Source organism: Homo sapiens, chromosome 20 (assembly GCF_000001405.40).
Source record: "Homo sapiens chromosome 20, GRCh38.p14 Primary Assembly".
Lineage (NCBI taxonomy): Eukaryota > Metazoa > Chordata > Mammalia > Primates > Hominidae > Homo > Homo sapiens.
The window spans coordinates 14608181-14634099 of record NC_000020.11 but is presented as its reverse complement, the minus strand read 5'-3'; the positions used below and the strand labels follow the sequence as shown (position 1 = coordinate 14634099).

Sequence of the window (25919 nt, the reverse complement as noted above, 5' to 3'; positions counted from 1 at the left end):
TTGTGGGAAATGGCACGCCCAGGGGGCTGTGAAGAGAGCAATGCTCCTGGACCCAAAGTGTCAGGTGAGGAGAGCATCAGAAATAACGCTACAAAATAAATCAAGGCCAGGCTGAGTTTATATTTAACTTCAGATGAAATAAGGAGCCAAACAATATGTCTATGCAGGAAAATTAGATGGCCATGGTAGTGTTTCAGGAATATTAACCCAGTGGCTATAAGAGAGAATGCCATAGGGGAATACTAACATGAGGTGGCCAGTTAGGAGGCTATGATGATACCCCAGTCTTTAAATTAAAAAGGCCTGAGGTGGTTTCAATGGACTTATGTGTCTGGTGATGTTTTAAGTATGTGAAAACTCAAGAGGGAGGTCGTTTAAGGACAGGATGTGGGAGAGAAGGAAGCGAGAGTCAGAGATGACTGCCAAGGGAAGCCTCGATAACTGGGATGATGGTGACTCTAAAAGGAGAATTCGGAGCCAAGAGGAGTTGCTACCTCAGGAAAAAAGATGATGAATTTGGTTTTTTTAAGTTTATTTGAATTTAGTTCATGCGAAGGCAGCCCATCCAGGTGGCAATATATAGCAGGTAACTTTACATGCAACACCAGTTGGAGAAATAGGGATTTTTTATTTATCACCAACTCAGAGTAGTTGAGTGAAACTGCTTTTCTCATTGGCTTCAATTTCCTTTGAAGAAGATTAAATATGAATAAAGATTACCAGAGTAGGCTGAATGATGGCCCCCAAAGATACCCCTGCAACCTGTAAATGTTACCGTCTGTGGAAAAAGGGTCTTAGCAAATGAGATTAAGAATTCTGAGATGGGGAAATTATTCTAGATTATCCAGATGGGCTTAAAATGAATCACAAATGTCTTTATAAAAAAGACACATGGGGAAATTCAACCCAGACAAATAAGGGGAAGGCAACGTGACCACAGAGGCAGAGACTGGAGTGATGCAACCACAGGCCAAAGAAGGCGAGTGGCCACTACTGGCAGGAAGAGGAAAGAGAAAGGTTCCTCTCCAGGGCCTCTGCGGGAACGCAGCAGAGCTCCCCCACATCTGGACTTCCACACCGCGACACTGATTTCAGACTTCTGACCTCCAGAACAGTGAGAGAAAAAATTTCAGTTGTTTCACATCACCAGGTTTGTGGTGGTTTGTTACAGCAGCCACAGGAAACTAACACTATTTCAAATAATTTCTACCACTTAAATGAGAACTTTCAATATATGCCTAAATGGTGATAATCAAGACAATGTTTTTTAATTCAAAGAATTTCTTGTATTTTACATTAAAATATTATCATAAGAGATCATTTTTTGTCACAAAGTTCTTCGGAGTTAGAGAAGCCATGTTTCAAAAACATCTCAATTTATTTAATTTTGTTTACTATACTTTTAAATAAACATCTCTGTATCAGACACCAAAAACTTTTAACTATCTACTACCTTCCACTTTCCAGACTAAATAAGGAATGTCACAAATTAACAATAGCAGGTTGGTATTGAGATACTATCAATAATAACATAAAAACAGCAAAAATGAAAACCACAAATGTAGAAAAGGGGCTTGGTGGAGAAAAGAACCCTTATCATTATGTACTTAAGAAAACAGAATAACATACTTCCTAAATATTATGTTTGCTGCATGAATTACAAATATATTGACAATTTCCCATATCTACCATATTTTACAAATTTGTTTTTACCTATCCAATCATATAACCAAAGAGTTCCATAAAGAAAACAGGTTTTCATATTGTAAGTTCTTAAATATTTCCTTACATGTTTCTAACTTTTAACCTTGACATATAATATTTAAATTAAATTCTAAATATCTTAAGAGAAAATGAAGGACTGATTTTTGCCAGAATTATTCCTTATGCAGTCATATTTAGAATGACCACCCTTAATAGAAAGAGAAGCATCATTCACACTACAGTAAGCTTACTTTCTCTGTAAGTGTCCTTAGACTAATATAATCAATATTCCTTATAGCCAGATTACTTCATCTTAAAAAAAAAAAGCAGGCAAAAAGACTTCTGAATCTCAGGGAATAGCTAGTTTGAAAATTCAAATGTTATTTTAATAAATTACAAAATGAATACCACACTTATTTTTTAAAACAACTGAAATTTTTTCTTACTCAGATGGCCATTGTCTAAGAGTCCAACTGGCATGCTCATTGCAGTAGCATACCTGAAGTTACAACAACACAGCAAAGATTGTCAATGGCATGTAACTTCATAAAGATCCTGTCAAAAGACAAAATTACAACAAATTTAAAGATATAATTGGTTTTTCTTTTTCTTTTTCTTTTTTGAGATGGAGTCTCGCTCTGTCGCCCAGGCTGGAGTGTAGTGGCGCAATCTCGGCTCACTGCAACCTCCGCTCCTGGGTTCACGCCATTCTCCTGCCTCAGCCTCCTGAGTAGCTGGGACTACAGGCGCCCGCCACCATGCCTGGCTAATTTTTTTATTTTCATTTTTAGTAGAGACGGGGTTTCACGGTGTTAGCCAGGATGGTCTCAATCTCCTGACCTTGTGATCTGCCCACCTCGGCCTCCCAAAGTGCTGGGATTACAGGCGTAAGCCACCGTGCCCGGCCCGGTTTTTCTTAAATTTAAAGATCCAATAGGCTTTTATTGAATTCTAAAGTCGGGCAACATCTCATTCCAGAAAACAGAATGAGTGTTCTAATGAACTGATCAGGAGTATGGCTTTATAGGCAGAAAAGGGCTAAGAAAAAGCAGAAACCGTGAACAAAAGAGAAGTGGTTGTTTCAAAGTTACTTTCCTTATGGAATTAAAACAGAGACGACTTCCTTATCATGCCAGCTCAGGTAAACTGGGCCCCTTCTGATTGGTTGCTGTAAATCTCCTCTTTTGAAAAACTGGCTTGTTTCAAAGTTCAGTTTGATTATGTGGCACAGCGATTCCATTCTGGTTTTGTCTGGTCTGTTGGGCCTAGTGCTGGAACTCAGTCCAAAGCAATGAACTCTTGTAAATTTCATTTAACGATTCCATATATTCTTTTAAAAAATATTAAAAATTTAAAAAATAAGACAAATAGAAATGTACTGATAAATTCCAAACTGCTTAGTAAGGTGGAAAATCACAGCTGTTACAGACACACAAAAATAATTCTGTAAGTGAATTATGTTCTTGTTGAGTGGCAAAATGTAAAACAAAAACAAAAACAAAACTCAAGAATCTGTACATCAGGGAAAATGTTTAAAAGTGTTAGATTCAAATAAAGATCTGTAGATCATCTCCTTGAAAGGATATTCTAAGCATATTTCAAAAGGGATTAAATAATAAGGAACTCTTTCAAATGTAGATAACTATATTTTTTTAATTTAAATTTTGTTCACCTATCTTCTACAAATGCTTATAAATGCCTAAATGAATTTATTTTCTTGACAATGGGCATATTTTTAATCAAACACTAGAGATGCAGGCTGGTGAGAATCAATTAAAATCCTATTGTGTAAGTGTTCAATAATCTAGAAGGAAAGGCATTATAATTAGAAGTAATCTGCATATATAATTTACGTTGTTTGGAAAGCCTAAATCATTGCTAAGAGTTACATGAATTTTTAGAAAACAATTGCTAATTTTACTTCACTTCACTTTGATTTTTGAGTCTCTGAGGCCTACTTCTTAAAGCCTCAAACAAGTTTAGTTAAAATTATCTTCCTCTACTGTGCAACAAGTTTAAGCAGAAAAACAAAATGCTTTTCCTACTTCTCTTACAGCCTAAGTTATAGAAATCGGTGTAGATGCTCTTAGGCTCTTTTATTCTTGGCTGCCTATGAAAAATTTCTCTTGCTTTTTCTCCATTCTGACCCAGATCCCCCAATTACATTCCGCAGCACACCAAAATTGCTCCTGTTGTTTTACACTGTTGAAAGGCAGGGTAACAGGATGGTTAAGAGGGTTGGCTCAAAAGCCAAACTGTGGAGACTGTAAGCCTGGTCCTGCCACTTTACAGCCAGGAAATCTCAGACAAGTTACTTAGCTTTCCTTTGCCTCTGTTTAAGAGAAGATAATAATAGTACCAATTCATGGGGTTGTCGTGAATCTTAAAAGGGGATGGATAGATAGATAGATAGATAGATAGATAGATAGATAGATAGATAGACCTTAGCACATAATAGGATCTGAGTTAGCTAATGCTCTGACTGCTTTGTGTATATTTCTCTTTAAGACAGAGAAATGGAGATAAATCTCAGTGTTTTTGAGTTGAAAATTAGAAAAATTAAGATTGACCAGGAAATAAAAAGAGACCAGGGTTCTTTAGGATAAAAAGAAAAAAGGCTTGGCTAGAGGGAAAAGAACCAGTCTGCAAAGCTCATTGACAGCACATCTTTGTAGTGCAGTCCTTCCCTGCATCTGTGCAGATGTTATACCTTTAGAAGACTTGGAGAGAAGGAGTCAGGGAAGAAAAGATGGAATCAGTCACTCAAGACTTGGGAAAGCCACCTTTCCTACAGCTTCACAATCATTACATGCAACTGAAATACTCTACACATTTATTATATATTCACATCAGGTACAAAGAATTTTTAAAAGCATTTAACATCCTCCCAAATAAGTAAATATTGCAATTCATGAAATTGTCTCAGATTACTAAAGCTGTCATCTGTTGATTTTAATGTTTAAAGGGTTATTTTCAAAAGAAGAAGTACAATAGCTAATTCTCACAAATCAAGAGACTGTGTGTTGTATTTTGAATTACATTTGAGGGATTATTCCATTTTTGTTTAAAATCTGATTTATTTAATGGAGAAGTAGAAATATTCTTCAAGGGGTGAGAAAGAATTAAATGCATTTCTTACTTAACTAACCTGGAACCAATTACATCCTAATACATGTTCTATCATGTTACATTGGTTCAAAAACGGCAGTTAAAAATACACACACACAGACCACACACACACACACACAAAAGTCCTCTAGGACATGCAGGAATTGCCTTTGGGAGCACCTGTTTTAGGGAAGTGACAAGTGGTACGCCTATTTTCCTACGGCCGTGATGCATATGGCATATTAGGAAGGCTTTTTTAGCACTATTTTTGTCAAAGATAATAATAAATATAATGTGTCTAATTCTGGTACTCAGAACTAAATGGGAACATAGAAAACATCACCAAAGTTCCAAAGAAATTCACAATTAGAACAATGAGGAAAGATTACGGAAACTTAGATTATTTATCTTGGGTAAGAGACCACACTAAATAGTATCTTCTAATTCAAGATGCCTACAGAGAGGATGATGAAGATGAACAGCTCTTGTCACTATCTTTGGAGCTGGAATTGTCTTCAGCTTCATTCTCTTCCCACTGTATATGTGCTCCTGGAATGAGATCATCCATGGCTTCTACTGTCTGTATGATATGGTCCCTAAACCAGATCTCCCTATCCACATAGCCAATTGTCTTAGGACATCTCCAAATGTCTGAAATAGAAATAGAAAATTAAAAGTCATCATATCTCAGCCTTCCTGCAATACTCTCCCTACATACAAACACACTTACCACCATTACCTTCACCCTCACCACATATTTCAGAGAATAGCATTTCTACCTCCTAATCCAAACAGGGTATCTTCAACCACTCTACATTTCCACATCCAGTCCATCACCCACATTTATTAGTTCAAATTCCTTCAAATCTCAGGATTCCATTATTTTATTTTTTTCATGTCCTCTGCTACTACATGATTTCCAGCCATCGTTTCTCAGCTAGATTGATGCAAGGAACTCCTAACTGGTCTCCTCTCTAATCCATTCTCTCTACATCCACTAGACTACAGTAATAAATCCAAAATGAAAAGCTGACTATATCACTCCCCTGCCTGAAGTTACTCCACAGATGCCAACAGCTCTCTGCACCTCACACTAATATCTGCCACACTCCTTGGTCTGATCCTAAAGAAGTGTTTTCTTTTCTCCAAACCTGTTCTCTTTTTACCTCACACTGCTTCCCACTCTGAACATATTCCATTCCTTACCTACCTATTTCCTACTTATCTTAAAGGTTCAGATCAGATAGTGCTTTTGGGAAACCTTACAAATTTTTCTCTGTGTTGCTCTGCTCAACAAGCTAAATTAGTTATCCCATGTCTGCATTCCCACATTATGTTCTATTAATTATAGTGTATTTTAACTGTCTATTAATTTATCTGCTTTTCCCTTTTGTCCATCAGGTCCTTAAGGTCAGGATTTTTTGTCATTGAATCCAGAATGAATTTTCTGAGTGCATTTTTTGTCATTGAATCCAGAATGCCTGGCACACTGCCTCATATATGAGAAGCACTCTTTAATTGTTCAATAAATAGAATGAATAAAGGACATAGATTGTAAGAATCAAAACACACAAAGGGGGTGCTTGGAAATGTTTTTGGGTGCACTAATTCAGAAAACATATTAACTTCACTGAAATGTTTTTAAATTAAATTGTATTTTGATGTTGGGGACAAAGTTCTAAGTTTTCCTCCCCTCCAAACAGGCTCTGAGGCAGAGATTTGTTATGCAGGAAGTTTATTGAGGAGTATTCCCAGGAACAATGCCTGTAAAGTAGTGAGAGAAACGGGATTGAACTGAAGGAGAAGGTGAACTACAAGGCACTTACAACAGAGACCTCAGTTGATCCTAATGGGACCTCTGAACCTGAGATGACCCTTCACAATGGGCTCATCAAGGCAGTAGGGCTGGGCTTCTGTGCTCCTACATCGCCCAGTCATTAGATGCAGGTTACTGCCAGGGAGGAACCATGGCCTTGGTGAGACAGCTACTTTGAGAAGAGGCCAATTCCCATTGAGAGAATTAGTTTTGAATCATCATCAGGCAACACTACTAGCAACTGAAGGATTGGATGTCTCATTTCTGTAGGGGATATCGAGGTGGTACATACAGCACGCATTTTAGTTCACTCCTCAGGCCACTCAGATCCACCTAGTTCATATAGTAAGTTAGTAAATTCTCACTCTCTGGGAGCAGGTCCTCGAGGATTCTAGTCTATCTCTTCTCCTGTAGAAATTTACAAGAGGAAAGTTAGTGGGACAAACTATAGCTCCCAACACAGGTGGTCTCAAGGTCACAGCTGATATTCATTGTCTCCATCCTCTACTATCCCTTGCCAATTCTTCTTATCTTTGGCTAGCATCTCTTCCAGTCCAGGTTGTTTGCTGGTATATAACACAGACCCTCGTCTAGAAGGGGACTGAGTCCCTAATCACCACACCTGTCTTAGGTCACAGCTGCCCACACTTGTCCGTTTGAATAGGGGGTACTAAGTGAGACCTAAGTGGATCAGCTGGGTGCCAAAAATATTTTTTTCCTTTCTCCCATTGTGCGACAATGGCCATACTTCCTCCTGAGGATACGTTACCCTTGCCAGTATGGATTATTGTTTTCCTTGCCTGCTGGTCTCTGGGTATGAGGAACCTGAAGTAAGCAGGGAGCAGCTGCAACTTCAAGTTTGATGGAAATCTTACCACGCCTTCTTGTGGCAGCATTCCCTGTGTTAGAACCAGGAATTCTAGGTAAACATAGCCCAAATATCTAAAAGTGGAAAGCAAAAAATGTCCCTAAAGGGTGACTAGGAGAGGTGGTAAGCAGGGACACTCCTGTTCCTTTTCTGTTGGTTCCTGGACCTATTGATTGTAGTACTGGGAATACAGCACTGTAAAATAGTCATTATTTTAGGCTATATACTATATCTGAAAGATGGCACCCCAACCCCACAGGTATCATCTCCAAGCTGGTTCCTTGCAGATGCCATGCCAAACTACTACCTCACCTTCAAAAGGCCGTGCCATGGGTTTCTCAGGCTGACAGCTTCTAGGAAGTATGATATGTGATAGCATCCAATGTAATGTGCCCACCCCCACAACTACCCTTGCTGTAAAGTGTGCCCCTTGATCTAAAGCAATGTAATATATACACAATGTTGATAGAACAGAAACTTGGTCAGGTACAGTGGCTCACGCCTGTAATCCCAGCACTTTGGGAGGCTGAGGCGGGCAGATCACGAGGTCACAAGTTTGAGACCAGCCTAATCAACAAGGTGAAACCCTGTGTCTACTAAAAATACCAAAAAAATTAGCCGGGCATCATGGTGCATGCCTGTAATCCCAGCTACTCAGCAGGTTGAGGCAGGAGAACCGCTTGAACCCAAGAGTTGGAGGTTGCAATGAGCTGAGATTGCACCATTGCACTCCAGCCTGGGCGATAGAGTGAGACTCCATCTGAAAAACAACAACAACAAAAAAAACCCAGAAACTCTAAAGCCCTCAAACAGTGATGCCAGCTGAGCTTCAGAAGTTAGGAAAGGCAAAGTCATACCTGGGGGCTGATGATATTCATTGACAACTAGCTGGCTCCTCTCACAAAGAGATGGTGCCATATTGGAGGCTCAGTGTTGGTCTCTGCTGCTGTCAGATTAGGCATTTGGCAACAGCAGTGGCCAGGTCAATATTGTTGAGTGGGAATACATGCCATATGGCCCATTCATGGACTCTGTCTTTTTCACCATGTCTACTCCATTCATGCAATCATTGTGTCAGCATTGGAGTGGCCAATGACTACGGTCATTTTCTCTATTTTATTTTTAGAGCTTTTTCGGTGGTGATTGCCCTCTGACAGGCATTAACAGATACATACTACAAAGATCTTCACACTTCATGACCATTCAATAGGTCCATCTATATACCACTTCCTATACCCCCTCATTCCTAATCTTTCTTTTTTTTCTTCTTTTTTTTGAGACTGAGTTTCGCTCTTGTCACCCAGGCTAGAGTTAAATGGCACGATCTCGACTCACTGCAACCTCTACCTCCTGGGTTCAAGTGATTCTCCTGCCTGAGCCTCTCGAGTAGCTGGGATTACAGGCGCCTGCCACCATGCCTAGCTAATTATTGTCTTTTTAGTAGAGACGGGGTTTCATGTTGGTCAGGCTGGTCTCAAACTCCTGACCTCAGGGGATCCACCCACCTCAGCCTCCCAAAGTGCTGGGATTACAGACATGAGCCACCACACCCAGCCTAATCTTTCAATCTCTCCTAGGTCCCTCACCAGCCGGCCAAGCCATTCACCATTAACCATGAATTTGTGTATATTCTTAACTTGGACCATACAAAAGGTGCAATGTGCAAACCTCTGACCTTTGGGAGGATTTCCTCTCATTGCTATAATTCAGAGGCACCTTTGAATGAGGTAGTAGTGCTGCAGCAGTACATTTCTGGCTGGCATTCATCTAATAAGCTGATAAATTCATGAACCAAGCTCATACTTTTTCCTTCTTTATCAACTAGGATAACATCCCCCACCTTGGATGCAGCTATTGGTGTGAGCAGAGGAAGAAGTGCAGTTTCCACTGTGGTCCCTCACATGTGGAAAGGGGCCACCTGCTCATGCAGTTTTCTTCTGCCTTCTGGCCTTTGCTGTGTTCAATCCCAGATGTAGTAGTTTCATTTCAGTGCTTCATACTACCAACACCCAGTAGCACACACTAAAGTTATTTTTCCAAAGGTGCATAATTATTAGCTGCAGAGGGCATGTCTTTGCTCCTAACCCTATGGTTCTGTTTTGTCATTTTCCTACTGGGGTTTGCACAAGAGATGCCAGATTATATGACTCTAGTGGCAGGGCTGATTTCACTGTGGCATGAACTTGCTATCCAGCTCTTTTCTATTCTAAAACCCAATCAAAGTTGACAGCATTAAAATGTCCCTTAGTAAAAGACTGGAACAGTATTACTAAGTGTGAAATATGTATGCTACCTCCAGAACCCAAAGAGGCTTGTCAGATGTTGTGTTTCCTTCTTAACGTGTCTCACTGCTTAATTGCAATAGTTTCTCCTTTACTTTGGAGAGGCTGTCCCGGCATGCCTCAGACACCTAAAGCTGATGGAGAAGACCCCTGTATCCCCATAAGGTCTACCTCCTGCCTTCTAGATCACACATGCCTTACCAAGACTTGCCACTTACTGCAGATAAGTCTGATAAACATTATGCCATCAAATAACAGATCCATGTGAGATTCAGCAGATGTCCAGACAGTCCAGGTTCCTTAAGAGTCCAAGACAGACAACATAGCCCTGGGGCAAGACTGTAAGTTTTTACTGTTATCTAATTCAAGTGAATGTGAAGTGCTTCTGTTCCTCCTCCCTGATAAGATGAGAAGAAATGGATTTGCCAGATCAATGGCTGCCAACCATGTACTTGAAGCCTGGTTGAGTTTGTGATAGCCCTCTGTCATTCACTAGAATTTATATGTTTTTTGTAGGGGCCAGACTTATGCTCATCACCATTTTCTTTGCTATCAGAGAGTCCAATTCTGTAACAGCATCTTTTCAGTGAACCTTGGACAACAGAGGATGGCTACCACTGGCTTTTCAGGGATGATGATGCTCCTCTCACTAATATTTTTATTATCTGTTTGGCTCCAGGTCCTCCAGAACACGACCATCTGTTAGTTTTTCAGCCCTCTGTGTACCAACACAACTTCTCTGAGCCTTTTGATTAGTTCATCCACTGTCTGCTACAGCAAAATTCTGGCATTTCTATTTATTATAGTATTGGTCATCATTTTTACCAAGCTTTCAAGAATCATTTTAGCAATATGTTAACACCATCTCCCAAAGCCCTTGCCAGGGTGTTAAATTCTCTATCATTAGCAAGTGATCCCACGTTCATAAACTCTCCCTTATTCAACTTTCTGTTCCAACCACTTTGAACCAGCACCCTCTGGATCCAGTCCAACATATATGCTCCCAATTCCTGGAGAACACATGGCTCTTTGAGCTTCCTTCCATAGCAGACCCAGTATATTCTTGTCCATGTTATGTTGGGAATTGACCCTAGATATCAGCCTGATGGCTTCAAGGTTGGTTGAGAAAAAAAAAACAAAAAAAACTGTAATTCAGTTGTAACACAGGTCTCAGCCAAACTTACAGAGAACTTTGGCATTAAGATAGTCTTTGGGAGTTTCCTCATCAAAACAAGGGGCTGTGGCTTTGTACTATCTATGTTGTTGAGTCACTGGATGTGAGCTAGCCCCTGGGAGGCAGGCATTACCTTGGAGAGGGCAGCTTCCTGCACCAGCAGTCAAGTCCAGTAGAGGGACTTAGCCGTGAGTCATCAGCAGACAACACTTCCAGTAGGTGGGGAAATAGTGCCTCGGTTCTGAAAGGGGGATCTGGGTACCCACCAGAGCATCTACCATAGAAAATATGCCAGTAAGACAAAAATTAGAAAGCAAACCTTACAAACTCTGCCATTACCTCTTCTCTGGCACCACTGAGGGGATAAACAACTGTGGTATACTGATTGTCATTTCACGTGGTCAACATTTTTAGGAGAGTAAATAAATGGATTGTGAGATTTGTTCTTCTTGCAAAGACTTAGGCGATCACAAGAAGTGAAATGTTTGGTAGAAAATAATGGTGCCTCAAGGGTAGACCTAAGTACTTTCGTCCTCAGATCCTAGAAAGCTAGACTCTGAAAACTTCTGGCCTCTCAGAAGTTTCTGGAAGTTTTTATCCCCTATGATAGTACAATAAGCTCAAACTCTAACAACTCTTTTGTGTCTTGGAGTTAAACATTAGATTTCTTTGGTACAAGTTTTATTCATTTGCATAGCAAACAAATCTATCCTATGTTCCTAGTTCCTGGTGATTTTAAAAGGTAATGCTGTACACATATATGACTGCACACAGCATTTTTTTTTAAAAAGGTGTGCAATCATAGAAAAGCAAATGACCAAAGCTACCCGCTCACATCTCAGATACCCCTTGACCTACTTAACGGACAACTTCTCAGAAAGTGCATATGGACTTCTTTCTCTTCATGTCATGGGATATAAAACTAAAGGCATGTATGTAGATCATTGCAAGAAAATTATTTGAGTTTCTAATATCTTTATTATCCAATGGAAATATATGTAGAGGCTTGTTAACTCAGGAATACATTAAAAATGATTAAAATGTTAAATAAAATAATGTAATACAATTTAATTATTTCATTGTATTTGTAAAATATTTTCCAAAGATTTTACCTTCTTTGAGCTCTTCCAGAGCCTATTAGGTAAGCAGGAATTATTTTACACACATTCCTATATATGGAAACTGAGGCAAATGTTAAATTATTTTGTTAAAACTCACACAGCTAATGAGAAATCCTCCCAAGGCCTGACTGTGGTCTTTTTGCATCAAAGTCAATATTGCTCAGCTGCACCAGGTAGTCACGTATAAACATGGTGTATACTTGACCTTCAGAAAAATAGCTCGTTTTTATGTACCTAGAAACACACTTCCCAACGGAGAATCTACAAAACAAATAAAAATTAATTTGGATTGGGGTTTTAACTTTTTGTACATGCAAAACACAGCCACAGCTCAGAATTTCTCTCCTCTAGAGGATACCTCACTTGTTTTCATCCTTGAAGCAAACACTGTGGGAAAATTAGAAAGAGCTGGTTCAGCTGATTTAAAGTTATCTTAGCAACAACATTTCCCATGTTATGCTGAGCAGAAAATTCCTGAAGTTTCAAATTTTGCATGATGTTAGACTTTCCTGAAACATAGGGCTGTATGAGGTTTTAAAGAATTGATTGATACTTTTAAAGTTAGAGCAATTTCCATTTTTTAAAAAGGAGATCATTTCCTATCTTTTTTATCTTGAAGAGATCCTCTTCATAATGATGATTACCCTAGCTACTGAGTATTTTCTCCAGGCAAAAAAGGCACTTGAGCAGCACATCTGTAAACTTATCCCAACCCCATAGTCCACGTGGAGGCTGACTTCAAAGCAAAGAGAAGCCCTAATAAGAATTACACACAACACAGTAATAATACTTCTTAATAATAGCACCTAACAATTATACAACGCTTTGCACTTTCAAAGCATTTTACAATCATTAATTAGTTTATCCACACAACATCCCTGTGACTTATGCCAGTATTATTATCCTCATTTTTAAAATGAGGAAACTAAGATCTAAAGTGATTAAGTGCCTTGCCCAAGGTCACACAGCGAATCAGTAGTACGCTCTGTACTTGATTTCATAACTCTGTCTAATTTTCAGGACTGATAGAGAATGTGAAATCTTTGAGGTCCACAAACCATCTGCTTGGAATACAAACCTATTGTTTTCCCACTTGCCAATAATACCCTCCTTTCTTCATTGATTTCTATAAAACAAAGCTAAGAAATTAAGAATCTTCCCTTTAAAATATCTAAGTATATAATAAACTCATTTAAATTAAAGAAAAAGTAGAAAGGAAAGACAGTGTGTATGAAAATCATGTGCTCTCCGATATCCTGTCATTAGGATAAATGTATTTGTGATGGATCCCTAAATTATGTTTTCTGTCTAGCAGAAAAGAAGTTGACAGCCCAACCACATCCTGCAGCTATAATTAATATAGACAGCTCCTTGTTCCCAAATATGACCTCTTACTAACACCAGCACCCCTACCACTAATCAAGTGAACCAATCAAAGGAGCCTACGTAATTTTTTTCTCCCTATGATACTGAAAAATTGCCTCTGGGCTCATTAAATTTGAGGAGATATATATCTAGATAAACAAAAGAAAACTTTTTTTTTAACTTTTGGAAATTTATCCTAATATGTTCCCTATCAGAATTGGTTAGAATAAGCTAGGATATGTTCCAGACCAAACAACATTCAAATCTCAATGACAGAACACAAATCTATTATTTCTTGCTCATAGTACGCATCCATCTTAGGTTGGTGGGAGCAATCTACTCCACCTTGTCTTCATTCAAAAACCCAGACTGACAGAGCCATAAACATATGGGTCACTTGGACAGGAGGAAAGAATATTCCAAACTGCACGCTAGATTTTGAAGCTTCAACATGGAAGTGGCACATCATCCTTATGCACACTTCACTGGCCAATGGCTAATTCAAATGGGCATCAAAGTGCAACCCTACCATGTATGCAGAAGAAGAGAACCAGAATAGACGGGAATCCCAAATAATGACTACTCAACTTTCTGGTCACCAAATATTTGACACATTCCTCTTCCAGCCTACTTCCTGTCTCAAAGTGACAAATGTCAGGGCCACATAGTCTTTTAGACAAAGATATGTGTTAAAAGCCAGATCATAATTTGCTATCTTCCCTCACCCATGATGGCCACTAGCAACATTTCAGACAGTGGAGGCTCTATTGGCTGAATAAGCATGAAGCAGCACAGAGCTCCCATCTAATCAATAGTGGAATCATAGCACGAACAAGAAATAACCTTTTGTTGTTGATTTAAGCGCTGAGATTCTGCAGTTGTTTGTTATTGCAGACTAAGCTGGCCAGTCATCTTACAAGGTAGTATGGATTGATAACAGCCATATTTCACTCACAAAAGTCAGATGAAACACCTCATTATCAATAAGCTCCAAAAGAAAGGGAAAAATAGGGAATACAAATGGGTGACAAAATTGGCCTTGATGTCCATTATGCCTAGTTATCTCTATACTCCTTTTTTTCTTTTCCCTCCCTTCCCCTCCCTCCCTCCCTTCTTTCCTTCCTTCCTTCCCTCCCTCCTTCCCTCCTTTCCTCCTTCCTTCCTCCCCTCCCTCCTTCCTTCCTTTCCTCCTTCCTTCCTCCCCTCCCTTCCCTTCCTCCCTCCCTCCCTTCCTTCCTTCCCTCCTTTCCTCCTTCCTTCCTCCCCCCTCCTTCCTTCCTTCCCTCCCTCACTCCCTCCCTTCCTTCCTTTTCTTCCTCTCTCTTTCTTTCTTCTTCTACTGAAGAAAGACACCAAAGTCTCCTGCAAGCAGCCTAGTTAGAGGGAGGCTTTGGAATCAGAGATGACTTTGAAGTCATGGTATAATTTTAACAGAGTTCATGGATAAAAATTTCAAGAACAAAGGCTCCTGAGACAAAATACTTGCATGGCACTGACTGCCTAGAAACCACCTTGTTACTTTCTGAAGAAGCAAGCAAATGAAATAATGATATCTTTACATAGTATGTGCATTGCTTTTTCCAATCCCTTGGATTTTTATGGCTATGATCGTTATTTTAAGGGCTTATCATTTATTACATCTCTATGATACACTTAGCACTTTACATGTACCTGTTATTTCATATTTTATACAAGAAGTATTTTTTAATTAAATTTACAAGTAAGAAAACTAAGGTTCTAAGGATTTGAATAGTTTTGCCAGGACAGGCAGCTAATGAGCAGCTGAGCCAATAAAGACATTCTATTTGGGTGGCACTAAAGCCCATAGAATTTCTTGGGCATCTCATTGTCTCCTTTTCAGAGGCTCTGTTATTTACCATATGAATGTATTCACACTGGTTTCAAACTTTCAGCAAAGCTTCTCTTAAACTTCTGTGGTTGCAGAAATCTGGGACTCAATGTGGCATGTGAGGAGAGCTGCATAGTGCAAGTCTTCAGCACCCCACGCTGAAACCCCATGATTCCACCTTGTTTCAGAGGAGCTTGTCAAGTTCCAGACTTGCCTCCAGGGAGGAACCCTGTGCGTTACACCACATGCCACTGACTGCCCATTCCCGAGATAGCAGCTAACACAGATTGAGTGCCAACAATATACTAGGTATCATTTTAAGTACTTTTCCCAAGTTAACTCGGGTAATCCTCACAGCAATCCTAAGAGACATTGTTCTATAATTATCTCTAACACAGGAAAATTGAGAGGTAAGTAATTTGTTGAAGATTACACTGCAGAAATTTGAACATAGGCAGTTCTTTTCCAAAACATCTGTATTTGAGCATTCTACTATGCTGCCTCTCAAAACACACAAACAAGATAAGGTATAGCTAGGTGGTGGAAAAAACACTGCCTAAGAGGAAAGCAACTGCTATTTTGAATTCCTTTTTCCCTTAGCTCAGCTCATCAATTCATCCATTCAGTAAATGAGCAAATAGGGCCTTCTAAGTGCCAGGCATTATTTTAGCTGCTTGGGATACATTGATGAAAAAAAAATTCATAGGGATTGGAGGGCAGGTGTGGACCGCAGACCCATTAAAGTGAGCTTTGGTTAAATCATTCAATTACTCAGGTTGCTAGTTGCTTTATGACTTTAGTCAGGATGACATCCTTCTTTCCGCAAAAGAAGAGAGATTGAAGAAACCTTCCTTTGTGACTCCCTTCAGCTCCAAGACTCTGAAGTCTAGTTCTGTACAAATTATCACCTGCACAAATAACCACCAAAGCATTCCTCTCCCCTCTTTCATGATTGCGAGGCTTCGCCTGAAGGAATTTGGAAAAGGTGCTCTCTAACATCATCTATAAGGGCTCAGGGTTTCGGTAACAAGCAGAATTCAAATTTCGCAGAGTCTCATAGTGTCTTGACTCTTACTGAGTAAGGAAAGTAGCATTAAAAAATAGAAGTACTTGAGTGAGCTAGTTATTTTAAAAGGAGAACTACTTCTTAAAAGTAGTTACATATTATCCTTTCATTTGATTTCTAATACTCTAATGATGAATAATCATCTGTGAAGCAACCTAGATGAGTTTTGTATATGGTTTCTTAGTCTGCAGATAAAAGAACATTTCTTGCAGAAAAACAGAGGAGAGTGGCACACATTTATCTTTCCTAATACATAGAGAATGGTTTGTGTTTACCCATAGAGCAGGCATAGAATCATATTCACCACTGAGAGAGCAGAATATGTTTTAAAGATGCAAAGAAGGGTAAAGTCTCAAATATAAGGAGGCAGGCAAGTGATGAAGTATCACAGTGAGTCATTACTCCAAGAGGTTTCCTATAAACATTAACCAACAAAGGAGGAAAGATTGGCCACTTGGAAGCACACACTAATGACTTAGGATGAAACATAAATCATTTCAAAGAACTATGTTGAATCTCGGAGTTAAAAGCGAGAAAGAGAGAAACAAGCAAGAAGAGTGAGTTGTCACCCAAACCAAGGTTGAGTTCTAATCATAGCCAAGAGAGTGTTCCAACTGACAATGTCAAACAAGGCAGTTCAGGTAATAGGACTGAATGATACATGACTAGGAACTCTCCAACAAATTTGATTTATCCTCCTTGAGAAATATTTGGGGACTGTAACCTAGATAAACTCTAAATTGAAATTTCTTTGCAAAGCAATAAAATTGAGACTCTCAAGTGTCTATACTTCAATTACTTTCTCCCAAGGTTTTAGAATCAAAAGAGAGATTGTACACAGTTCTGTGACTTCACAAAGTGACTAGCTGGGAACTAATGGTATTACAGGACAGCTTATTTTGAAAGAGGGCTCATTTAAGCTGTTCTTAAATGAAATACCCTAGACATTAAGATGAAGTAGGAAAAGTTCTTTCATAATGAAAAATTATGGGATGATCAGTTCATCCATCTCATTTTTGTGACAGAGAGGAGAAAAAAGAAATTAAAACAATATTAAGTCATACAATGTCCCACAGCTGAGTCCCCTAGAAGGCAGTATTTATATCATTCCAGGACCTCCTTCCAAGGTTAAGAAGCCGCAAAAATCACTTAATTTTCCACTTTGTTCAAATCCTGAAAATACTGGCCCTCAAAATTAAATCACCGAGGGTGGCCTTACACTTAACATCATTTCCAGGGGCTCAGAAGCCCACTTGCTCAAAATAATATTATTCACCAAAATTCATTTAAAGAGAATTTGAATTGAATCCTATGACTACAGATACTTCAGGAATAGATGACATATAATTGGAGAAACCATCACTGTGGTATAAGCGACCATTTTTGACAGGGAAGAAGGAAGATAGAAGGTGGATGAGTACTCTAAAGGCCTGGAAGGGATGGCTAGAAAGTGAAAACACTGATGACTAGCATTTTTAGAACAAATATTAGTCATTTCATAGCTTTGCCTAGTACCATCTAGCACAGTGCTCCAACATGACTGGGCTCAGACCACATACGTGCTGTTTATATGGCCATGACAGAATGTTCTGACATTGCCAAGAAAGTCCCAGATAGTAATACAAGAAAACAGGATTCAAATCAACATGAGTAATCTACCTTCATGCACACTCAATGCTCTATAAAAACCTTGGTCACACTTGTCTCTTCCTTTGCGGATAATGGATCAAAGCCACTGCTCTTTCTGGCTCTCTTCTCTATCACTGTGCCTCTCTTCACTAGGCTATCCCCTGGTGACTGACCACTCACACCACCTTACATACATAGAAACATTTTGTCTGCTGTCATACCTGTCCCACGTACATCTACACTGCCTCCTGCATCCACTCAGCTCTTTGCAGTTCTCTGCTTTCCTGCCTTTCTCATGCATTTTCTTCTTGCATTGATCCTTAGTGTAGTTTATTTCATTGGCTTGTTACCTAATCTTCCTGATTGCAAGCTCTGCCCCACCTATGTCTCCATATTGCTACCAGGCTAATCTTTCTAATACACACTGGCACATATTCTTCCCTGCTCCTGAAAGTCAACCAAATTATGCCTAAGCTGCTTAGCCTGAGCTTCTAGACCCATGGGCTTCTCCACAAATCTATACTTCATACCTCCCCACCATTACCTCTATTGTTTCCTATACCAGGAACACCTTGCACCTCATTTCAGCCTCTTGAAATCTCACCCATCCTTAAATATCAAATTGTAATGGCATCCATTTGAAAAAGTAATTCCCAATTCACCCTAACTCTTATCCTCCCCATCTAAATAAATGTGATCTCTCTTCTTTTAGCCAGGATAATTTTTTTTGTTCGTTTATCTCTTGTTGCATGTGATGGACGCGGTGACACTCCACTCGAATCCTCCTTTAGGAATGAAGGACTTATTCCCCTATCCGGGGAAGAACTGCCAGAGGGCACCCTGAGCTGTCACTTGTATCTGGGAATTGCTTCTGCTAAAGAAACATGCCTCATCCAAGGTCACTACTTCCAGTGACAGCTGTATCCAAGCACTGATCAATATGCAGGAATAAAAACCTGGCCCCCTGCAGCCCAACTTAAGACTCTGAAGAGTCACCCCAGCCCCAGAGCTCCTGTGGGGTTAGCTGAAAACTTCACTTGGAATGCATCAAAACCTAACTTCTTTCCCTGTCCAATTATTTCATATTTCAATGGTTCCATAGCTTTCCCTTTCCCCAGCACACGCAGAGGTGTTATTCTCAAGAGCACTTCCAAACAAACGCTCTGCATGCTCCATCTTAGAGACAGCCTCCAAGGGAACCTAAATTGTAACACAGCACTTATACATGGTTAGTTTCCCTTCTATTAAAGTCATGTATGCATTTATTCATACTAAATTATAAACTCTTTGGAACAGGGATTGCATTTTCAAATCATATATGCCTGCAGTGTTTAGCATCAAGACTCCAAAGTGTGTAGCACATATAAATGAATAAATGAGGGAATGAATAATTAATGCTTAAAATTAGCACCTCTGTGGTCCTGCAAGGTCTTTACACATCTAAAATATCATCAACATGTTTTCTTTCATTGATAGTATTTAATGAGCATTAGTTACAAGTAAGGCACTGTGCTAGCTGCACTAGGAAGGATGTATAAAAAGAAGTAATGGACTCCCTGCCCTCAGGAAGTTTATAATTTAGTCAGCAGGATAATTACAGCCATTTACGGCCATCGTTCCCAACGCTGGCTGCTCACTGGAATCACCTCAGCAATTTCAATAATTGCTCCCAATTTCAATTGCTCCCAGTACTGGGCCCCACCCCCAAAGATTCTGATTTAATGGGTGAGGTGAGCACCAACTCCCCAGGTGATTCTAATGTGTCACCAACGTGGAGAACCACTGAAATATGAAGAGCTATGTGTTCTAAGTACTGTTTTAAGCACTTACCCCAAGTTAACTAATTTAAGCCTCATAACAGCATTATGAGAAAATTACTATAATTGTCATCATTTTATAGACCAAGAAATGAAAGGGCAGAAGGTTGAAGTAATTTGCTCAAGGTCACACAGTTAGTTAGGTGTGGAGTTACATCAAACCCCAAAACTCAGGCTCCGAATTTATGACTCTTAACTACTCTACTTCCTCACTTTTGGAGACAGCATGAAAAGTAAACTAATTTGTGTTGAGTAAAATTTATAAAAATATTTTATTAGAAAATCGGAGGTCTCCATGGTGGAAATAATAACAACAACAATAACCTCTGACATTTGGATTGTACTTAGATCTCAAATATTAGAGTAAGAAGGAAATCTTAGTTTATTAAGGGAGACTTAGAATAACGATGGGTTTACATAGGCAGATGAGGTAAAAATGAGCTAGATAAGTAAATGATATATGTTTAAAAATTTGCAACTTATGGCTGTAAGTGGATTTTTATTTAATTGTTCTATAATACAAATGGAATGCTCTTTGTTCTTTTTTAAAACTCCTATCATTCCACTAAGATCATTAACTGTATCAAAGTTATTTTAGGATACTCTCTTTGATATCCAAAAACATGTAACAATAAGCAAAGAAAGAGGATAACTGGAAGTCAGTGAGCCAGAGGAAAACACTGGGGGTAGCTAAAATCTCCACTGTGTTTTGTCCCCTTAATACCCATCTCTCTTTTTATCTCCATACTTAATAGAGTTGCAAATAGATGTCAAGTAAATAATTGGATCCTTACCCTTCTTTCTTCCTCCCCACTGCTCTCATCCACCCTTCCCAAGGTCTCTTTGTCTCCCTCTCAATCATTCCTGTTACCTTCTGTTGCTCCCCATATATGTTAACCAAGAGAAACAGAAACACCTTCCAGCCCACCGTAAAATACTCTCTCACAGGGAAATGCAAGCCCAAGAAAACAAGTCCATAAATCTTGTTTAAGCATAAAGCATGGTTCTGGGGAATGCGTATGAATCATTGCTTATTCTCTTGACTGTATATGTGTATTTCTCATATACATTCATGTATCGCAAACATACTTCAACTGATAGAACTCATGTTGTCAGAAGTGCGACTTGAACATAAACTCCTGATTCTTATTTAATACAATTTCCACTATACCCCTGTTTTTAATACCCTATTAGAAATTTGGCTCAAAATTAATGTTTTGGAATGATTTCCTAGGTCTCTAATGCGACTTATAAAAATCACAGTATTTTTAAGCTCCTTCTCAGGAATACTGAAGAACTCAGAACCTTTATACACAGAGCCCAGAATATTTAAAACTTCACTGTAGGTGCATAGAAGAAATAAAGTACAAGCCTGAAAGTACAATGGGATGTAGATATAGATTTAGATATAGAGCAAGGTACAAATGATTTTTGTTAAGTAGTAGCTGATTTTTTTCCTCCCTTTGTTTCCCAAACCCAAACCTTCTGTCATTTCATAATACTTTTAGAATTTAAAAAATTATGCAAAATGTTTAAAAACTCACCATAATCAGATGAGTTTTAAGAACTTTATAGATCCTAAGACTATTGTTTTAGGGAGGTCCGACCTCATAGCATATGAAACATATTAAAATGTACCTAAATTCCACACTAACACAATGTTATAGGGGACTATGCAAGAGTTGAGTTGAGCTGCAGTTGAGCAACTGAAATGATGCAACATTTTGCAATCTTATTTTTATACTGCATGCATATGTGTATGTATCCCACACACCCCCACCCTGTCCCTGTTCTCAGATATTTTCATACTCCCATAATAATTATGTGATTTACCTGGTGGGAAATTACAGTACAATTATTATATCTGTTCCAATATCCACAAAGTCTACAGTTGTCCTAAAGGCAATGACAAAGGCAATCAGTAACCAAAATTTGGGAAGCCACCTATATTGAATAAAATGTTCCCTAATTTGGCCAAGCTTAAAGAGTTTCAAAATAAGGCTTTGTAACTTTCATTTTATGTTATCTAAATAGTTATACCTATATATATTATTGGGATCAAAAGACTGATTTTGTGGCCTACCGCTGAGAATTAACTACTTGATAAATGAAGACTGGGTTAATTGTATTTAACTTGTTTCCCTTTGGTGCTTAAACATCTGGCTAGATAATTTACACCTAAAAATCTCTATAAACAACAGACAGTTCTTAACAGATAGAGCCCAGTATTTTTAAATGCCAATTTGATTAAAACTGCAAAATCTAGGCAAGCAAGAATAAAAAGATCATATTTCTACTCCCTTTCACATATGATAATCCCCTGCTTCTTGCCTTTAAGAAAAATTTGCACTGTTTACATTTTAAATGTTAGATGAGTACCTGAATAATCCACTATGTAATTTAAAACCATACATTTTAAAAGGTTGCAAATTTAAGAACAGAGAAAATATTAGACAGCTAAATGAACTAAAGTATGTGTTTTTAAAAAGCTTAATATTTCAGTCATAATACTATAGTTTCAAAGTTTCTGAGTCTCCTAAGGTTAAAGACTACATTTAAGATAAGAATCCTACACAGATTTACCAAGAATGTGGAAAGAATGCCCTTCCTTTTATGGGTCAGAATCCTGGGCAGAGATAATCCATGGGTGGACCCAGGTCTGCAGAGCACCTACCATGTGTCAGGCACTGAGCCAGGCCCTTCGGTACAGCAAATTTGAGATGGTGCTTTGTCTTTCCCTTTTGAAGATCAAATCTTTGTTTTGAATTATGTATTTTAGTGTTTCTACTTGACGATGAGATATAATCAGGCAAATATGACCCCCCGCCAAAAAAAAAAAAAAAAAAAACCTCAGGGCATTGCTGATCTCTGAACATAATGAGGAAGACCCCAAACAGAACCAATGCAATTTAATAACCAGTAAACTTGAATTTTCACCAGGCTTGTGTAAGAAATAATCATTGCTGACATTTATTTTTTACTATACACCAGGTATTCTTCTAATGTTTCACATCTGGGAAACTAGCACATTTGATCATCAAAACTGAATGCTATTATTATTGTCATTTCACAGATAAGGAAACACAGGTATAAAATGGCTATATGACTTGTCCAAGCTCTTGCAGATAATAAGTGGCTTGGGTGATATTTGAATGCAGGTAGTTTGACACCATAGGTATAGACCACATTCTTAACCACCATACCATATACTGCCTCTTAACAAAAATCTAAATGCAAGTATTCCAAGAATGTAAAAGTACTGAAAACAAGTATTTGAAGCAATACAATTCCAGCAAAGCCCTCTATGAAATGACTAAAATAGACTTACCAAAAACGTTTGTTAATATGAGTCTCCAATGCAGAATTAACTGTACCTTGTCTTTATTACCTAATGCTTGAATTATAAACCAAGCTAACATCATTATCGAGTATACCTTAATAATGACAAAGAATAACAATAACAATAATAAAAATACCTTACATTTGCATATGTTGACCATTTTCAAAGCATTTTCATCTGAATTCAACTTTTATTATTATTGATGTATGCTTTCACATACACTATCTTGAAAAGAGAAAAAAACCCTCATACAATGCTAGGCTTTACTGATTAAAATCTGTCATACTGTATTTCCAGAATTATTTAAAATAGATAATAGTAAAAAGAAAATATGTATTTCAACCCAAATACAATATCAGCAACAAGCAAACACTATACTTACTCATGAATAAAACACATTTTATTTTCACCATTCAAAGAATAACTATTTATGAATTTATCCCAACATTATTGCTGACCTGAGAAATGAACTTAGCAGTGGGTAAAAAAGAAACCTCAGGTAAAAATGAAAAATTACTAGAAGCGCTCACATTATAACACAGAGTGACAAATATTTTATTCATTGAGGAAAATGAAATGAAAGATTATATTGTGTTTTCTTTGAAAATGAAGTAAAAATCCCCATGCTACTTTATGCTTTAACTTAAGAATTTAGATTCAACACATTACAGAAGGTCAATGTTAGATGAAATAAATGTGTCTCTGTAAAATTGTTTATGAAATTATAGTTTAAGTCTTTTAATGTTGTTTATTATTTAAAGGCATTCTACAATAAACCCCTTTCCAAACTAAATGACCCATTTTGTCAAGTTAGTTTTGCTGTTCTTGTTGCTCATTTATTTGTTTGCCAAATCAGATTTTCTCAACTTAAAGCAGGGACCAGAACATTTGGATCTGGTTACAGAACATGTCTGCTTATTGCTGCTTTAAATTTAAAGACAGAAAGTGTTGTAAAACCCTGCGGTATACATGAGCTTTTGACTACAAAATACGAAAAAAGAAGAACAAAAAATTTATTACTCATTCACTGGAAAGGGATTAAGTTCTTGAAGATTTTTGCTGGTTAATTTCGTGTATGAAAATACTGATTCTTGGGATTTTCTCTCCATTGTAGAAAATGGAGCTTCATTCTGTCCCACAGCCCATGACCCCAGACAGTCCTGTTATCTTCATGAGTTAATGATTACACAGCAGATGAAGCAAGATGAGGATGTCTGTTTCCACATAAACCCATCACTATATGGAACCACAACTTTGAACACATGATTTACTGAGAACTGGCCATTTGTGTAATCTTCATACACATAAGTATTTTTGCAGGGAGAAGAATGATACTCCTATTTGGTATTTCAAAAATTAGGTTGCAATGGAAATCAAAGCCAATGAAGTTCAGAGTAGGCAGCTCATGAAAGATCACCTGAAAAAAGTACACACTCTAACTTCCTGAGTCACCACAAAGCACTAAGGACACAAAAGGGGAAAGAAGTGACCTTTAAGTACTTCCCCACAGTACCCCCAAACACACATCAAACTGGCTAGTCTGCTAATAAGTCTTCCCCTCCTCAGTAAGTGGCAGCATAACCTTCCCATTTGTTCAGATCCCAAAACCGGAAACTATCCTGGATTCATCTCTTTCCTCATCCCAACATCAATACAACAGCAACTACTAGCAGCTCAATTTTGTATTTTGAATCCTCTAACTTCTCTCTGTTTCTAATGTTATGACGCTCTCTGTTTCTAATGTTACAACTCAAACCACCAATGTCTCTCACTTCTTGGAAAGTCTCTTAATTTATTTTCCTTCTTTCACTGTTTTTCCCAGAATGGCCTTTATAAATAAGAATATGTTGATTCATGTGCTTCAAAGCCTCTAATGGCTTCCCATTGTGACAAAAACAAAATCAGCTTTCTGTGGCACATAGACCCCACCAAACCCCCAAACCTCACCAAGTTCCCCTGTCCTTCAATTCTCTGTACCTTACACACTGGCCCCCTCACTGCCATTGGACAGAATTAACTTATTCTTATCTGAGGGTAGTAGTATTTTCTATCCCTGTTTTTGGAATACATCCCTTAGATCTGTCTCTTTCTCAGCTCTAATCCTACCTCCTTAGAGAAATTTTCCCTGATCATTCTATCTAAAACGGTACCTACCTATCCTCCAGTCCCTCTACCCAATTACCCATTCAATTTTTCCTACAGCCCCATTCACTGTTTAAAGTTATATAATCCAAATACTCGTTCACTGATTTACTGTATACTGACACTTGTCGCTCTCCCCTCATCCTCCCACTAGTCAAACTCCATGAGAATAGGGACCTTACTGTTTCATCCACTACTATTGCAGCACCCAGTACAGTCCTGGCACATCCTCAGTAATCAATAAGTATCAGTTAAATGAATAAATGAATGAATGAATGAGATGCAAAGTAAAATCCAGAAAGATCTGTTAGCCTGGCTTATCCTGACCTCAAACTTCACTTAGGCCTGAGTTTTTACACTTGGCATTGTAGGGCTAACTTGGAATGAGAAATGCCTTTTTCTCAATTCCCTTTATTCAGTAAATAGCAAAATAGGATTAATGTAAAACTTATGGGCCAAAAGAGAAATAAAAGTGCAGATTACTCACAGTAGTTGTAGGGGGAAACAGAATACACAATTACTAAATGTTTTCCTGTTAACTTTATTTATTTATTTATTTTTTGAGACGGAGTTCCATTCTTGTTGCCCAGGTTGGAGTGCAATGGCGCAATGTCAGCTCACTACAACCTCCGTGCTCC

The 25919-nt window shown here is 38.3% G+C and overlaps 1 protein-coding gene and 1 long non-coding RNA gene across 4 annotated transcripts in view; both read right to left on the bottom strand.

Moving 5' to 3' along the window:
• The window catches only part of MACROD2 (mono-ADP ribosylhydrolase 2), a 2057682-nt gene that overhangs the window by 1419098 nt on the left and 612665 nt on the right, over positions 1 to 25919 (bottom strand). The gene's annotated exons all lie outside the window — the stretch shown is intronic.
• MACROD2-IT1 (MACROD2 intronic transcript 1) overlaps positions 5192 to 25919 on the bottom strand; it is a 74525-nt gene continuing 53797 nt past the window's right edge. Inside the window, exons 2-5 of the long non-coding RNA NR_104193.2 lie at positions 12171 to 12334; positions 11086 to 11226; positions 6994 to 7036; positions 5192 to 5463 (exon numbers count right to left, since the gene is read on the bottom strand). This is a non-coding gene — a long non-coding RNA (MACROD2 intronic transcript 1). The remainder of the gene's footprint in view (positions 5464 to 6993; positions 7037 to 11085; positions 11227 to 12170; positions 12335 to 25919) is intronic.